Below are 18,116 nucleotides of genomic sequence, written 5' to 3'. Positions count from 1 at the left end.
CCTCTCTCATCCCCGCGATGGAAGATGAGGACCCTGGGTGGTTGATTTGCCATTCAAGGTTAAAGGAGATGGTGTGATGCATAGAAAGGAGCCAGCACAGCTTTCATTCTCATCGTCATTAACTGAGGAGGTGACGCTGCTGCCCAGGCATGGAGCACATTCAGCACACACACCTGAGCACGTGCATAGAGCATGTGGGCTAAGGACGGTCAATGCGACCTTTTCCCAAACTCACATCCCACAGAACTGGCCCCACCTGGCACTTGTAACCTCAACAGCAGTGAGGGTAAATAGAGTTTACCTTAACGGAGCACTGACTGATATGATCTCATCTCATCCTCCAGCAGCCCTTTGTCCTCCCTTTGCAGATGTAAAGGAGGGAGGTAAAGACCCAGCAAGGTTCAGTAACTTGCCCAAGGTCACACAGCTGCACACATGAGAACATTGGTCAATGCATTGTCCGGTGGAGGACAAGAGATAAAGCCAGAAGGCAAATGTGCTCACAATGGAATGTGTTTCCGCTGTGAAGAAGTGGCACCTGATACATGTGAAGCATACCCCTACCCCGGTTTAGTGGGTGAGGGAAGGCTCCTTGAAAAAGTGTTGGTAAAGAAAGTTAATATTTATTACAAAGCCATTCAGTCATTCAGTTAGCAAACACTTAAGCCCTTTCCGTGTGCTGGATGCTGGTCTAAGGCACTTGGAATACAGAGTTGCCTGTCCTCAGGACGGTTGACAGTAAGCATAATAAGCAAATTCTGCAGCGAGTTACACCACGATAAGAGCTGCTGAAAAAAAATATCTGAACCAGCCGTGAAGGGTGGTGGGGGGCAGCTTGCATTATTAAATAGAATGGTTAGTGAGGCTTGCTGAGAAGGTGAGGTTTGAGCAGACTGAAGGAAGTGAGGTGGGGCTGTGGCAGCCCCTTCAGGGACTAGCAGGGAGGCACTGGCATGGGGGTGGGGGTGTAGGACCCAAACGTGATTCTTCATTCTTACAACTCCCTCCAGAAGTAGGTTCTGTATTGTCCCCAATTGAGAGGTGAGGAAACTGTGGCACAGAGAGGTTCAGTGGCTTGCCCAGGGTAACACAGCTGATAGGAACACTTGCCACCCTCAGTCTGACCCCAGAGTGATGTGTTTACCACCACTGGGGGCCGCCTCACCCTTCCCTCTGACCCTGGCTAAAACAAGGCAGGACCCTGAGCTTCCTCAGCATGAGGGAGCTCTGGATGTGCGTGCGTGGGTGTGTGTGCACGTGTGCAAGAGGGAGGCAGGCAGGGCTGATGTTTCAGCGCTCCTTTCTGCCTCTTGGAGTGGCCTCACAGGCCGGCTTCAGCGATCACCAGCCGACCTCTTCATCTCACCCTAGCCCTGTAATTCCCCTGAATTACAGATGTTTTCAGCACCAGGTCACTGACAAAAGAAGCCCATTTATTGGGCATGAGGACTGGAAGGAAATAGTGGAAGGGTCACTGTGTTCATTTCCTCTTGCTGCTGTGACAAATTGCCGCAAACTTGATGGCTTCAAGCTACACTCATTTATTCTCTTACAGTCCTGAAAGGCAGAGCTACGAAGCCATGGCAGCAGGTGCTCCTTCATCTTCAAGGCCAGCAGCATAGCTTCCATCTTGCAATTTCTTTTTCTGTCTGACTCTGATCCTCCTGCCTCCGTTTTATAAAGAGGACCTTTGTAATTATGTTGAGCCCACTTGGGCAATCCAGGATTGTGCTATTGAGAAATAACTATTTAGCCTTTAGCCTGTTTCCTGGCATAAAACTCCTGAAATCTTACAATTTCTAAAGTGATGTCTGTGAACCCAAAATATCGGAGACAAGTCTCAGTCAATTTAGAAAGTTTATTTTGCCAAGGCTAAGGACACACCTGTGACACAGCCTCAGGAGGTCCTGACATGTGCCCAAGGTGGTCGGGGCACAGCTAGGTTTTATATGTTTTTGGGAGACATGAGACATCAGCCAGTATGTGTGAGATGTACGTTGGTTTGGTCCAGAAAGGTGGGACAACTCGAAGCAAGGGCCCTGCCTTTCAGGTCATAGGTAGATAAGAGACAAACAGTTGCATTCCTTCAAGTCTCTGATGAGCCTTTCACTGAACACACAGTTTACATGTGACAGGAGGGTAGAGGAGTAGTCACTTATGCCTTGGTCTGGCTTAGTGAAATAGGGCAAAGGGAGCAATCAGGTATGCATTTATCTCATGAGTTCTGTGTGTCCTCTGTCCAAAAAGAATTTTCTTTTGGGCATATTGTGAGGGAGGTACGTGGTTAGTAATAAAATGGGAAACAGGTTTGCCTGAAGCAGTTCCCGAAGTGCTGGGATTACAGGTGTGAGGCACCATGCCCTTTTCTTTTACATGTCTTTTGTATGCTAATGAGATGGCTGGTGGCTGGCAGCCCCTGGGTAGCTTCAGGATAGGGTTGGTCACCAGGAAGACCAAGGCAGGACTAGACAGTTGGGACATTGAGCTCCACCCTTCAACCTCTGGGGAGGGGAGAAAGACTAAAGGTTAAGTTGATCACCAAGGGCCAGTAGTTTAATCTTGCCTGTGTAATGAAGCCACCATAAAAACTCAGAAGGACAGGGTTTGAAGAGCTTCTGGATAGCTGAACACATGGAGGTTCCTGGAGGGTTCCCAAGGAAGGCATGGAAGCTCCACACCACCTCACACATACCTTGTATTTCTACACATTTCTTTCTCTGTATTCTTCGGAATAGCCTTCATAATCAACCAGTAAATGTCAGTATTTGCCTGAGTTCTGTAAGCTGCTTTAGCAAATTATTAATAATTGAACCCAAAAGGGGATTGTGGGAACCCCAGCTTAAAGCCAGTCAGTCAAACATTCCTGAAGTCCAGACTTGCAACTGGTATCTGAAGGTGGGGCAGGTGGGGCAGTCTTGGGGGCTGAGACCTCAAGCTCTGGGATCTGATTCTGTCCCCAGGAACATAGTGTCAGAATTGAGTTGGAGGACACCCAGCTGGGGCCGCTGCAGAAATGATTGCTTGCTTGGTGTGTGGAAAACTCCTCACACATGTGGTCATGGATTGTTGTGGTGTGACAGCAGAGGAAAAATGGTTTGTGTGTTTTCCATTTTCAGGATAATTTCCCCCGCCCCCAAGATCCTTAACTTCATCACATCTGCAAAGTTCCTTTTGCTGTGTAAGGTGCCATATTCATGGGTTCTGGAGATTAGGATGTCCATATCTTTGGGGGGGTGGCCATAACTCTGGTCTACCACAGTCACTAATGCCCACAGTGCCCTCATTTCCCCCCCACCCCATTCCCAGGCAGATGAAGTCAAGTATTCCCCTTAGCATGATGTGGCCGGCATGGCACACAGTGCTAATTAGAGGCCCCTCCTGGACCATGGCTCACCTGCATGGGACCCCGCCCCTTCTTGCCCAGTGAGTGTTGCTGGAAAAGAGGGTCCCAATCCAGACCATAAGAGAGGGTTCTTGGATCTTGCACAGGAAGGAATTCAAGGTGAGTCACAGAGCACAGTGAAAGAAGCAAGTTTATTGGAAACTACCCTGTTATAGAGTAGGGTGTTCTCAGAAAGCAGGAGAAGGAATGGGAAACTGTAAGGAGCTGTCATTAAACCTGGAATGTGCAGATGCACTCACTAAAGGTAGGGCTGTTTGTGCTATCAATGACCATTCATCCTTCAGCCTAAGCCTGGTCATTGATGTTATCTCTGAGTAAAGTGGGCTGCACTCTCAGGACATCTGGACATTCTGCAGGCTTGGTGGGAGATGTTCTGTGTGTCTATAAATTTTCTGTAATTGTAATAGGTGGTCAGCTCAGGATGTGGCTACTTTCATACTGTAAGCATTAACCTTATAGCAGGGGCCTTGTGAGCGCCTAGCTACTCACTTTAAGACAGAGTCACTCTAGTCATGTTTTATTAAACCAGAGGCCTGGTAACCAGGGGTCCCTCTAACAAGAGCACCAGAGAAGTGGGGTGTGGCTCAGGGCACCATCCTGAGGGGCTGGGAAACCACACCTCCAGCTGCCTCCCATTGGGGCCAGGACATTGATCATGTGCCCACCTCAACTCCATCTGTTGCAGAATGACTGTTCGCTGGATCCTCATTCTAAGGCTGATACAGCTGAGGGGTGTGATAGAGTGGGGGTTACCTCTTACTGGCTTATGTTTCGGAGTCTGCAGGGCCACCTCCCAGGTTCCAGCATTCTCGAGGGCCTCCCAGGACCCAACCTGTAGTCATGCTCACAGCTAATGATTTATTACAGCCAAAAAATGCAGAGCAGTATCAGCAAAGGGAAGGGTGCACAGAGCAGAGCCTGGGGAAGCCAGGGCCAGGCTCCCTGGAGTCCTCTCCCAGTGCAGTCCTGAGTGACATACTAATTCCCTTAGTAACGAGTTAGAACAACACATGCGAGGTGCTGTCTACACAGCATGCCCATTAGAGACTCAGTGTCCACATTTGTTATTGTGAGCTGGTTACGTCGGCATTCTCTGGTTGGCAGATAACAAAATTGCAGACTCCCAGGAGGAAAGCAGGGGTTCAACATAAGGCGTAAATTGTATGCTCCCTGCACCACACCATGAAGCTGAAGGTATTCTTAACAGTCAGGAAAAGTTTTATATCCGTGTAGGGAATGGTCTCCCAGCCAGGTCCTTAGACGCCAGCCTGGGGCTGACCCTGCACACAGGCCTCTTGGGAGAGCAGCCTCAAGCCTGCCCTGCTGATCTTCTCTGCTCAGCTTGTTTCCTCTGACATGGGCAGAGGGGAGGGTGCCACACAGTAGGGTTAAGAGCCAGGCATTTGGGGCAAATGTCTAGGTTTGAACCCTGGCTCTGCCACTGGTCTACCTTATGACGTTGGGCAAGTGATTCCTCCCTCTCTGTGCTTCCACCTTCCCATCTGGAAAACGGCGTCAGAACTGGACTTGCCACCAGATGTGAGAATTGAAATGATAATCCTCAGTGTTGCTTAGCACATGGAACATTTATTCATCTTGTTAATAATTCATCTTAGTATTCGTATTCTTACTACAACTTCATCCTACAAAGAGAGACATGTAATAATCCAAGCATTCTTCTGCCTAGCTTCTCTTAAATAGGATAAGGCCATCTTAGGATCCATGTTTTGTATCAAAACATATCCATTACCTAACTCTGAACTCAAGCCTGATGGCCTTGGATTTATCTTCTTCTACCTCCACCCCTACGGGGACGAAACAAACATCTGTAGAGGGAACATCCATTATTTCCATTTTCCAGGCTGTGTCCTGCTGTACTTTTTTCATTACAAAGTCACAAAAAGCTTTTGGGGATATTTCTGCTGTTGTTGGCAGCAGGGTATGACGATGGCATTCTTTGGAGGCGTGTGCTGGAACATTTAGGGATGAACTGTCATTCTACAACTTTCAGACAACTGCCTTTTTATAAAAAAGGGTAGGAAAAATGTTAACATTTGGTGAAGAGTAATTAGGCATTCATTGTATCATTTTCTCAAGATGTCAAGCTTTCCACAGTAAGGGAAGTGAAAAGTATGTCCCCATTTCTGTCCTCTCCAAAGACAAATGTGGAGGGCCAGGGAATGGCTGCAGCAGAACTGTGTCTCTGGGATGGGGTTTCAGCACACTGAGGATCTGGTTGAGTTAGTCAACAAGTGTTTATTGAGCACCTGCTCTATGCTAGGTAGGTTCTCAGCCCTGGGAGTAGAGCGGTGAACAAAACAAAGTCTCTGCTTTCCAGCCTAGATCATTGTGTGTGTTTAGGGAGGGGGGAGGTACTACCCACATAAACACCCACATAAAGAAGCTGTTTTCAGAAAGCGGTAAGTGCTATGTGGAAAATGGGGCAATACAATAAGAGAGCATGTGGCAGCACTGCCCCACAGAAACATAATGTGAGGCTGATAATTTTACATTTTCCAGAGGCTACATTGAAAAGGGTAAAAAGCAACACATTTATCATTAAAGTTAATTTTGTTTTGTTTTGCTTTGTTTTTGAGACAGGGTCTCACTCTGCTACCCAGGCTGGACTGCAGTGGCATGATCTTGGCCCACCTCAACCTCTGCCTCCCAGGCTCAAGCAATCCTCCCATCTCAGCCTCCCAAGTAGCTAGGACTACAGGCACACACCACCACACTCAGCTAATTTTTTAATGTTTTATAGAGACAGGGTCTCACTACATTGCTCAGGTTGCTCTCAAACTCTTAGGCTCAGGTGATCCTCCTGCATCAGCCTCAAAGCATTGGGCTGGCCCATTAAAGTTAATTTTAATAACATTTAACTGACTATATCAAAATATTAACATTTCAACATGTAGCCAATATAAACAGTTATCAATGAAATAGTTATTTTTTCATACTGATAGTTTACATTTTTTCATACTGAGTCTTTGAAATCTGATACAAATTTTATACACACGGTCCATCTAGACCCTTAATTTTCAGTGGAGATACCTGATCTGTACTTAATTTCCTAAAACCTTTGGAAAAGCAGAGTCACATACCCAAGTTGTTCCAGACATACTTTAAAGTTTTACGGTAACCAAATTGAGTATCAGTTTTTCATTTTAAATTTACAGTAAATTTTAATAATTTTAGCAATAATTTTAAATTTTATTTTATTATTGTTTTAATAGTGAATAGATTGGAGTGAAAATGAGTTCCGGGCTGGGCACAGTTGCTCATGTTTGTAATCCCAGCACTTTGGAAGGCCTAGGCGGGCTGATTGCTTGAGCCCAGGAGTTTGAGACCAGCCTGGGCAACATGGCAAAACTCTGTCTCTGAAAAATACAAAAATTAGCTGAGTGTGGTGGCAGGTGCCTGTGGTCCCAGCTACTTGGAAGGCTGAGGTGGGAGGATCGCTTGAGCCGGGGAGGTTGAGGTTGCAGTGAGCCAAGATCACACCACTGCATTCCCGCCTGGGCAACAGAGCAAGACCCTGTCTCAAAAGAAAAAAAAAGGGAAGAAAATGAGTTCCTCAGTTCCACTAGTTTTATTTCCCGTGCTCAGTTTTCATATGTGGCTAGTGGCATTCACATTGGACAGCATAGGTATAGACTGATACAGGGCAGAGATTCTTTGAGATGGGTGGATAGAGGGGCCCTCTTGAGGAGGCGATCTGACCACATCTTCCTTCCTCCACTCCACCCACCCTAGTCATGCCACCAACATCTTCCCCGGATTTCTGCAAAGCTACCTAGTGAGTCCTGTCCTCACTCCTGCTCCCTCTTCTGACACACAGTTAACCCACCATATAGACATGCCACAAATTTTTGTTAAATGTTGTCTGATGGTGTCACTCCCCTTCTCAGCTCCCCCTCCTCCCCCAGTGATGTCACACTTGAGATCAAATCCCAGCTGCTCAGCACCCCTTTCATGATCCGGCCCTGCCTGCCTTAGCCCACCCTCCCCGCTGCACTCACTCTGCCTCAGTACACAGACCTTGCTCTCCTCACACCTAGCCTGCGCCCACCCATGACGCTGACACCTGCTGTGCCTCTACCTGGAATGCTCTTCCCCTAGCACCCACATGGCTCATGCTCTCATATTTAGACCTCAGCTCAATGTGACCTCCTCAGAGACACCTTCCCTGACCATTCCACGACTCTAACCCCTGCCCTGGCCTGTTTATTCTTCATAGCAATGACCATGTCCATCATTGTGCTTTATATGGACTTTCTTTCCCTACTGGAATGTAAGGTGCTTGGGAGCCGGCACTCTTCCACTTTAACTCACTGCTCTCCCCCCAGTACCTGGGACAGCTGGACACCCAGTAGGTGCTCAGTAAATACTTGTCAGATGGATGGCCAGAGGTCTGTGCAGTCCTTATTTGCCTCATGACCAAGAACCTGCTATGATCTTAGGCACAAAAAGGGTTGGCCGTGCCCTTCCCTGACCGTGAGCAGGTGAGGGGGGACAGGAATGCGCCAGGTGTTCTGACATCTGTGTGTGTGTGTGCACGTGCATATGTGTGCATGTGTGTCTGTGTGTGTGTGTGTCTCCAGGTTAGGTAGGGGCCTGTGGACTCTGGCACTGCCTCATGACCTGTCTTCTCCCCACAGCCCTGCCTTACCAGCTCTCTGCCCATCTCTCAGTGTGGACCCTAAAGGGGGAGGAAAGGATGCCTTCTGCACGGGGGAAATCCAAATCCAAGGTAAGTGGCAATTCCTCTTCCTTCCGGAACACCCCATCGTGTCTTGTGAGATGTGGACCATTTGCTTTCCTTCCATGGAGACTTGTTGCCTGTTGGAGATCCATCCAACACCTAGTCTTTGGTTTTCTCCCGTTGCCATGAGGGATGAGAACCTGAGAAGGGCCCAGCAGCCAGGAAACTGCTCAGCGAGCCTCTCTCCATTCCCAGTGTGCACATGGCCACTGGCCTGTTTGTTTAGCATTCCCAGGGGCTTTGCCAGTGCCAGGAGAAATGCCCTCCCCAAGAGAAATGTCCTCCGTGGAGGAAGATGAGAGCCACTGTGATTTCTCAGCATGGAGATGAATGCCCAGGTGGGGCCTGCAGTAGCAGAGGGGACTTGACATGTGCTCTGGAGTTAGTCTTGTTGTGTGGTTTTGTATCTCCTTGTAAAACCCATATTTACATGGAGGAAATCTCTTTAACTAAGGTCCCAAGACTAAAAGGCACCACATAGCCCTGCTATTCCATTGACTGCACTGGTGCAGGCAGTGAGGTTGTATGCGTAGCCTCCTGTGGTCAGCATGCTCCACGACTGTCAATCATTGAGTGGTTTTTCCAACAGGCATCTCAAATGCAGTTTCCCATAACAAATGTGTTTGCTTTCAGTTGGGTGTATTAGTTGCCCCTTGCTGCTGTAACAGATTAGCTGCAAACTTGGCAGCTCAAAACAGCACGTGTTTATTATCATGCAGTTTTGTGGTTGGCGTCCAGGCACAACATGGTTTAGCTGGGTCATCTGCTTTGGAGTTCACAGGGCTGAAATCAAGGTGTCAGCCGGCTGTGTTCTCATTTGGGGCTCAGGTCCTCTTCCAGACTTGCTGGTTATTGGCCAGATTCAGTTCCTTCCTACACTTTCCACCTGACCCTCATTTTTCATCTTCAAGACAGCAAGAACCAATAACCAACTGGCCAGGTCAAGTCCAAGATAATCTGCCAAGGTCAAGTGATCAGTAACCTTGATTATACCCTCAAAGAACCTTTTGTCATGTGTAACATATTCACATGTTTCTTGGAGAGCAAGTGGTTAGGAGATTAAATCAGGAGCTGTCTGGGCTGAACACTAGCTTCTCCATTTACTAGCTGTGAGACCTGCAGTAAGTTTTCTCATCTCTCTGGGCCTCAGTTTCCTCATCTGTAACATACTGTGATTCCGCTGACAGTGCCTCTATCACTGATTCACATGAGCACTAAGTGAGCCAGTACAGTCAGGTGCTTAGAAGAATGCTTTGACTTTGTAAATGCCTGGTAGATCCAGGTTGCCACGTGTTCTTAATGCAACATAATTTTAATAACAGCTATGTCTTATATTGTATTTTATTTAACTTATTTAATACACCTGCCCCTTTTGGCCTCAGAACCCTGAATGCTTCCTGAATGATTCTTGGTACCTTGTGTCTCCCATGTTTAAGATGTGTGCACCATTTCCTCCAGCCATGTGGAAGCACAAGTCCATGGTGAATAGACATTTGATTTTTCATTTCAGGCACCTATAACATTTGGGGACTTAGCCATCTACTTCTCCCAGGAGGAGTGGGAATGGCTGAGCCCCATTCAGAAGGATTTGTATGAAGATGTCATGTTGGAGAATTACCGGAACCTGGTCTCGCTTGGTAAGGCTCTTCGTCCCCCACAATCCAGAACCAGCCTATTGAGGGACATGCATCACTCTGGGTCTAGTCAGGAAAATGGAAGCCACTGCAGTTTCTTTTTTAAAAGAGCTTTATTGAGATATAATTCACATACTATACAATTCACCCATAAAAAGTACACAATTAAATGGTTTTTATAATAGTGTATTCAGAGTTATGCATCCATCACCACAATCAATTATATTTTCATTATTTCCACCCAAAAACCCAGTACCCATAAGCAGTCACTCTTCGTCTCCCCTGGCCACTCATCCCCCCAGGTTCAGCAACTACTAGTCCACTTTCTATCTCTCTGGTTGTGCCTGCTCTGGGCCTTTCATACATATGAAATCATAAATATGTGGCTTCTTTGATTTCTAATGTTTTTGAGGTTCATCATGTTGTAGCATGTGCCAATACCTCATTTCTTTTCATTGCCAAAGAATATGTATGGTATGGATAGACCACATTTTGTTTATCCATTCATCAGTTAATAGATGGGCATTTGGGTTGTTTTCACTCTTGTTATTTTGATATGCTGCTATGAACATATACAAATTTTTTGTGTGGATGTATGTTTTCATTTCTCTGGGGCATATACCTAGGGGTAGAATTGCTGGGTCTTATGGAAACTCTGTAGGTAACTCTTGAATTCTTTTGGTATAAATTTTTTTTTTTTTGATACAGAGTCTTGCTCTTTCGCCAGGCTGGAGTGCAGTGGCGCAATCTCAGCTCACTGCAACCTCCGCCTCCTGGGTTCAAGGGATTCCTCTGCCTCAGTCTCTCGAGTAGCTGGGATTACAGGCACGCTCCATCACACCCAGCTGATTTTTTGTATTTTAGTAGAGATGGGGTTTCCCCGTATTAGCCAGGATGGTCTCGATCTCCTGACCTCGTGATCTGCCCACCTCGGCCTCCCAAAGTGCTGGGATTACAGGCATGAGCCACCGCACTCAGCCCTCTTTTGATAGAATTTAAGGAATTGATTTAAGAGGTGTTGTTGAAAGGTGAATAGTGGACATTGATGTAACACAGAGACAGTAATTGCAGGATGCTGCCACCATTCCTGGGGTTGGAGGGACAAAGGGAAGAGTTTGGGGTTTTTAGCGCTTTAAGGAAGGTCCCCTCGGATCTGGGACTCAGAACTTCTGAAGGAGGGGGCAGTGTGCTGCCTGGTTTGTTTATACTTCTGAGGAGCCAGATGAAACTGGTTCTGGGAGTACAGAACTAAAAAACCCAGACATAGAAACCAACAAAGCCCCTATTGGTGGATGTTGACAGGAAGCAGCTGGTGAAGCAGAAGTGAAGACAGCAAGGCCCCCACCCTGGCACCACAAAACAGATAATAGAAGGGTGAGGGTCTGGAGCAGAAAGACAGTAACTTCATAACCAGCCTCAGGAGTTTCTGACTCAATTCTCAGGAAAATAGTTTGCTTTGTCGAATTAAAATTTAACAACTCTACTGGCTATAATTTAGATTCCTGCCTTTCCATGTGAGATTTAAACAACCAAACTCAACACCGCACACTCTAACACCAGATGTTTGGAGGTTTTCCCACACACACCAAACAGTTCTCTAGCACACTCCAGCTGGGTGTCCTCCAATTCAATTCTGACACTGTCTACCTGGAGATAGTGTCAGATCCCACAGGGTAAGAGCCCAGTCCCACAGGACTGTCCCCTACTTCAGAGGCCAGTTGCATGTCCAGGCCTTCCAACTGACCAGCTCTAAATTAGCGGATTCCCATGACCCTCTCCTCAAGTTCAGTCATTTGCTAGAGTAGCTTTCAGAACTCAGGGAGGCGCTTTACTTATGCTTACCAACTCAGTGTAAAAGATATTACAGAGGATGCAGTTGAACAGCCAGATGCAAGAGATGCAGAGGGTAAGTTATGGGGGGAGGGACACAGAGCATGCACCCTCTACTGCACCACCTTCCACGTGGTCAGCAACCCTGAGGCTCTCCAAACCCAGTCCACTGGAGTTTTTAAGGAGGCTTCAGGTAGGCAAGGTTGATTAAATCATTGGCCATTAGTGATTGGCTCAACCTCCAGCCTCTGACCCCTCCCCAGAGGTCAGGAGATGGGGCTGAAAGTTCCAATCCTCTAATCACATGATCGGCAACCAGCCCCCATCTGAAGGCTGTCCAGGAGCCCCCAGTCACAGTCTTCTCATTAACATAGAAAAGACACATATGCAGGAGATTCCCAGGGTTTAAGGAGCTGTGTGCCGGAAACAGGGATGAAAAGCAAATACATATTCTTATAAATCACAATATCACACTCCCCATTCTCCAGCTGCCCTTCACATCCTCTGTGCTCCCTTCATGCTACTAAACCTGCATTCCTGTTGATGCAGAGCGTGGCTCTGACTTCTGTGGTGCCCACATTTATGATCATTTCCCATGTTTGTCCCACGTACAGGTCTTTCCTTTCGGAGACCAAATGTGATCACCTTATTGGAGAAAGGGAAAGCACCCTGGATGGTAGAGCCAGTAAGAAGACGCCGGGCTCCTGGTGAGTGACAGAGAACCAAGGCATATGTCTCAGTCTACTGGGGCTGCTATAACAGAATGCCATATATTAGGTGACTTACAAACACCAGAAATCTACTTCTCACAGTTCTGGAGGCTGAGAAGTCCAAGATCAATGCATGAGCAGATTCGGTGTCTGGTGAGGACTGCTTTCTGGTTCATAGGTGGCACCTTTTTGCTGTGTCTGCACATGGAGGAAGGAGTGAGGGAGCTCTCTGGGAGAGAGATTATAGGTGATTATAGATGATATCTCATTCATGAGGGCTCCACCTTCGTGACTTAAACACCTCCCAAAGGCCCCACCTCCTAATACCATTACCTTAGATGGTAAAATTTCAACATAGGCATTTGGGGAGACATAAACGTTCAATCTGTTGCAGCATAGAGGCAGGTGTTCTGCATAAGAGCTCATGTAATTGTGAGGGGGCAATCTCTTTAAGAGATTATTTGTGTGCCTCTCCCACTGAAGGCTCCAGGCCTGTACAGAGAATTCAAGTCTCTTCAGTATGAGTCCTGGAGGAAGAAAAAGCAACATTTAGTAAGCCCTTACTAGGTATCAAGCACTCTTCTAAGTTCAGGGTCTTCCTCCCAACAACCCCATAAGGTGGGTGCTGTTATTACCCCTACTTTATAGATAAGCAAACAGGCCCAGAGAGGTTTGTTGACTTGCCCAAGGTCACCCAGCTAGGAAGGAGCAGCAGAGGAGGGTTTGAGGCCCAGACCCTCTTCAGAGCGCCAAACAGCCTCTGCCTGTTTCCAGAAGCTCAGCTCTCCACACCCTTATGCCCACCTGTCCCCCTGCATCTCTGCTTTCGTATTTCCTTTCAGAGAAGGTGTAGACTGCCCTCTCTGTTAATACTTACGATAACATTCAAATCTGCATGATTTTTGTGATTCTTTTAAAAATATTTTTTAACTCTTTTCTCCAAGTGTTCTTTTCAGCTACTTTTCAAGGATTCATTGACAAATAGGTTCCTCTTTGGTTGGCCAAGTTATATATTTTGTATGTTTGTTTCTTTAAGTAGCATTCATTGAGTTTCTGCTTAGATGGGATGCGTCATCTAGGAGCTAGGGATCAACATTTTGGTGTAGGCTGGGAGAAAACGGCACCACCTCGAGCGTCTGGCTTTGGTGACGTCCAGGTTCTGAGGGTGTGTAACGGAAGCCAGATGGAAGCACAGTGCAAAAAGAAGACACGTGCATTATTTTACATCTTAATTTCAACATGAAGAAATATCCTTTATTAAAATACTGTTTTTAAGTTTAGAAGAAATTTAGTCATATAACAAAGTTTAGAAAAAGGAAAAGACAAAAACAGTTTATACATAGAGTTATCACTGATTACTTGTTTATTTAATGAAATTGGATTTCATCGTTATTATAAGGTTTATATATTTCTGCTTTTTTCACATTTTGTTTTAGTAGAAATGTTCTATGTTACTAGTCTCTCATGTCCTATTTTCCATTTAGATTCTAATTTATTATTATTAACATCAGCGTATCTGCATTAAGTGCTTTTGCCTGTTTTCTATAGTACTGAGTCACAGAGGGGGAGCTCTAGATACTTCTGAATTACTTTGCAGAAGAATTGTCATATCACCAGCCCCCAGTAAAAAACCCTAGGCACTAGGTCTTTATCTAGAAGACATTTCTCACAATTGCGAGGTCTCACAATTGTGAAATTTCACAAATTGTGGGTGTGTTGTCGCAATTTGTTGCAGGAGGAATGAAGTGCAGCCTGTGTGACTGCACAGGGACACAGCTCCTGAAAGCTGTGACCAGTTTCCTCTAGAGTCTGCCCCATTTCCCTTTGCACACTTTGCTTTGAATCCTTTTGCTGTAATAAATCATAACCATGACTACAACTTAAAAAGGAGAATTATCAAATCAGCACCATCAATAGCAACAGGGTTTGATTTTTCATACTCACTAGTATTGGATATTGCCATTAAAATGTCTCTCTTTATTTAGTAAAATGAATTAATAGCAGTCAGCATTTATTGAGAACTTACTTTGTGCAGATTCTGTGCTAAAGCCTGTAAGTTCAGCATTTCATTTAGTCCTCACAACACTTGTAGAAATCTCTGTCATTCCCAAGTGACAAGATGAGGGTTTGAGTCTTAGAAATGTTAAATAACTTGCCTAGGATCTCCTGTCCGGGAGATGCAGTAGAAGGTTTGAAGCCTTGGCAGTTCACCTTTTTAAATTTTTTTCTCTTTAATTTTTACGGGATATAGAGGTGTATATATTAATATTTACAGGGCACATAGGATATTTCAATACAGGCATATAGTGTGTAAGAATCACATCAGGGTATGTGAGGTATCTATCACCTCAAGCTTTTATTATTGTGTTACAAACATTCCTATTGTACTCTCTCAGTTGTTCTAAAATGTACAACAAAGTATTGCTGACTGTATTCACCCAGTTGTGCTATCAAATAGTAGATTGTATTTATTGCATCTTAACTGTATTTTTGTACCCACTAACCATCTCCTTTTTTCTGCTACCCTTCCCAGCCTCTGGTAACCATCCTTCTACTCTCTTATATCCATGAGTTCAATTGTTTTGATTTTTAGCTCCCACAAATGAGTGAGAACATGTGAAGGTTGTCTGTGTCTGGCTTATTTCCCTTAAAATAAGGTTTTCCAGTTGTATCCATGTTGTTGCAGATTACAGGATCTCATCCTTTTTTATGGCTAAATACTACTGCATGACTGTTGATGGTCATGTGGCTATTGTGAGTAGTGCTGTAATAAACATGGAAATGCAGAGATCTTTTTTATATACTAATTTATTTTTTTGGGGGGGTATATACCAAGCAGTAGGATTGCTGAATCATATATTAGTTCCTATTTTTAGTTTTTGAGGAACCCCCCCATACTGTTGTCAATAGTGGCTGTACTAATTTACATTCCCACAGTGTACGAGGGTTCCCCTTTCTCCATATCCTCACCAGCATTTGTTTTGCCTGCTTTGGGATAAAAGTCATTTTAACTGGGGTGAGATGATACCATGTAGTTTTGATTTGCATTTTTCTGATGATCAGTGATGTTGAGCACTTTCTCATATGCCTGTTTGCCATGTGTACGTATGTCTTTGAGAAATGTCTATCAGATCTTTTGCCCATTTTTTAATTGGATTATTACATTTTTTTCCTATATAGTTGTTTGAGCTCCTTATGTATTCTATGGTTATCAATCCCTTGTCAGATGGGTAGTTTGCAAATATTTTCTCCCATTCAGTAGATTGTCTCTTCACTTTGTTGATTGTTTCCTGTGCTGTGCCCAAGCTTTTTAACTTGATATGATTCTATTAGTCCATTTTTAGTTTCATTGCCTGTGTTTGTGGGGTATTACTCAAGAAATATTTGCCCAGACCAATGTCCTGGAGACTTTTGCCCGTGTTTTGTTTTAGTAGTTTGATTGTTTTAGGTCGTAGATTTGTCTTTAATCCATTTTTATTTGATTTTTGCATATGGCAAGAGATTGGAGTCTAGTGTCTTCTGCATGTGGATATCCAGTTTTTCCAGCACAATTTATTGAAGAGACTGTCCCTTCCCCAATATATATTTGTAACATCTTTGTTGAAAATGAATTCACTGTAGATGTATGGATTTATTTCTGGGTTCTCTATTCCATTCCATTGGTCTGTGTGTCTGTTTTTATCTCAGTACCAAGCTGTTTTGATTACTATAGCTCTGTAGTATAATTTGAACTTAGGTAATATGATTCCTACAGTTTTATTCTTTTTGCTCAGGATGGCTTTAGCTATTCTGGGTCTTTTGTGGTTCCATATAAATTTTAGGATTACCTTTTCTATTTCTATGAGGAATGTCTCTGATATTTTGATAGGGATTGCATTGAATCTGTAGATTAATTTGGGTAGTATGGGCATTTTACTAATAATTATTCTTCAAATCCATGAGCATGGACTATCTTTCCATATTTTTGTGTCCTCATCAGTTTCTTGCATCAGGTTTTGTAGTTTTCATTGTAATTTCACTGTGTTTGTTAAGTTTATTCCTAGGTATTTTATTTTATTTGTAGCTATTGTAAATGGGATTACTTGATTTCTTTTTCAGATTGCTCACTGTTGGCATATAGAAATGCTGCTGGATTTTTATATGTTGATTTTGTATCCTGCAACTTTACTAAATTTATCAGTTGTAATAGTTTCTAGGTGGATTTTTTATGATTTTCCAACTAAAAGATCATATCATCTGCAAAGAAGAAGAATTTGACGTCTTCCTTTCCAACTTGGATGCCTTTTATTTCTTTCTCTTCTCTGATTGCTCTAGCTAGGACTTCCAGTGCTATGTTGAATGTAGAATAATAGTTGTGAAAGTGGGCATTCTTTTTATTTTCCTGATGTTAGAGGAAAGGCTTTCAGGTTTTTTTTCCATTCAGTATTATACTAGCCATGGGTCTGTCATATACGGCTTTTATTGTGTTGAGGAATGTTCCTCTATAACCAGTTTTTTGAGGGATCGCATCATGAAGGGATGTTAAATTTTATCAAATGCTTTTCAGCGTCAACTGAAGTGATCATATGTTTTTTGTCCTTCATTCTGTTTATATATATCATTGATTTGCATATATCAAAGCATCCAGGCATTCCTGGGATTAATCGTTCTTGTTCATGATGAAAGATCTGTTTAATGTGTTGAATTCAGTTTGCTAGTATTTTGTTGAGGATTCTTGAATTAATATTAAGCTCTTTTTTTGATGTGTCCTTGGGTTTTGATATCAGGGTAATACTGGCCTTGTAGAATGAGTTTGGAAGTATTCTGTCCTCCTCTATTTTTTGGAATAGTTTGAGTAGGATTGGTATTAGGTTTTTTTAAGTATTTGGTAAAACTCAGCAGTGAAGCTGTCAGGTCCTGGGTGTTTCTTTGCTGGGAAACTTTATTACAGCTTCAATCTCATTGTTTGTTATTGCTCTGTTCAGGTTTTGGATGTCTTCATGATTCAGTCTTGGTAGGTTGTATGTGTCTAGGAATTTATCTATTTCTTCTAGGTTTTCTAATGTATTGGCCTAGGTTGCTCATAGTAGTCTCTAATGATCCTTTGAGTATCTGTAGTATCAGTTGCAATCATTCCTTTTGCATCTCTGGTCTTATCTCTTTTTTTCTTAATCTGATTAAAAGTTTGTCAATTCTGTTTATGTTTTTGAAAAAATTTCATTTTGTTGATCTTTTGTGGCATTTTTTTTTTTTTGAGACAGAGTCTTGCTCTGTCACCCAGGCTGGAGTGCAGTGGCACAATCTCGGCTCACTGCAACCTCCACTGCCATGTTCATGCAATTCTCCTGCCTCAGCCTCCTGAGTAGCTGGGATTACAAGCGTCCGCCACCACGCCTGGCTAATTTTTGTATTTTTAGTAGAGATGGGGTTTCACCATGTTGGTCAGGCTGGTCTTGAACTCCTGACCTCAGGTGATCCGCCCACCTTGGCTTCCCAAAATGCTGGGATTACAGGTGTGAGCCACCGCGCCCAGGCTCTTTTGTGGTTTTCTAATTTAAATTTCATTTCTTTCTGCTCTGATCCTTACTATTTCTTTTTTTCTGCGAATTTGGGGTTTGGTTTGCTCTTGGTTTTCTAGTTCTTTAAGATGCATCATTAGGTTATTTGAAGTTTTTTACTTTTTTGGTGTAGGCGTTTATTGTTACAAACTCTCTTCATACTGCTTTTGCTGTATCCCATAGGTTGCAGCATGTTTTCATATGTTGTGTTTTCATTATCATTTGTTTTGAGGAATTTTT

General features: G+C 44.1%; 1 protein-coding gene across 20 annotated transcripts in view, besides 1 other annotated feature; it reads left to right on the top strand.

The window, feature by feature from the left end:
* ZNF667 (zinc finger protein 667) overlaps nucleotides 1–18,116 on the top strand; it is a 38,765-nt gene that overhangs the window by 7,603 nt on the left and 13,046 nt on the right. For 19 of the 20 annotated variants that reach the window (XM_024451637.2, XM_024451642.2, XM_047439212.1 and 16 more), the window contains 3 exons: nucleotides 8,062–8,153; nucleotides 9,676–9,802; nucleotides 12,244–12,336. In XM_024451637.2, the coding sequence (XP_024307405.1) occupies nucleotides 8,121–8,153; nucleotides 9,676–9,802; nucleotides 12,244–12,336 (253 nt within the window). In that variant the 5' untranslated portion in view covers nucleotides 8,062–8,120. Of the gene's footprint in view, nucleotides 1–7,156; nucleotides 7,200–8,061; nucleotides 8,154–9,675; nucleotides 9,803–12,243; nucleotides 12,337–18,116 lie in introns of all 20 variants that reach the window. The other variant, XM_024451638.2, reaches the window with a different exon arrangement.
* Nucleotides 12,298–13,497: an enhancer, noted in NCBI's record as "MED14-independent group 3 enhancer chr19:56968363-56969562 (GRCh37/hg19 assembly coordinates)". NCBI's record gives its function as "activates an origin of replication core promoter dependent on BRD2, BRD4, P300/CBP and CDK7 cofactors, and independent of MED14, by STARR-seq in HCT116 cells {active_cell/tissue: HCT116}" and the evidence as "EXISTENCE:reporter gene assay evidence [ECO:0000049][PMID:35650434]".

Source organism: Homo sapiens, chromosome 19 (assembly GCF_000001405.40).
Source record: "Homo sapiens chromosome 19, GRCh38.p14 Primary Assembly".
Taxonomy (NCBI): Eukaryota; Metazoa; Chordata; class Mammalia; order Primates; family Hominidae; genus Homo; species Homo sapiens.
Note: the sequence above shows the minus strand (reverse complement) of the source record. Positions and strands in the feature narration are given on the sequence as shown.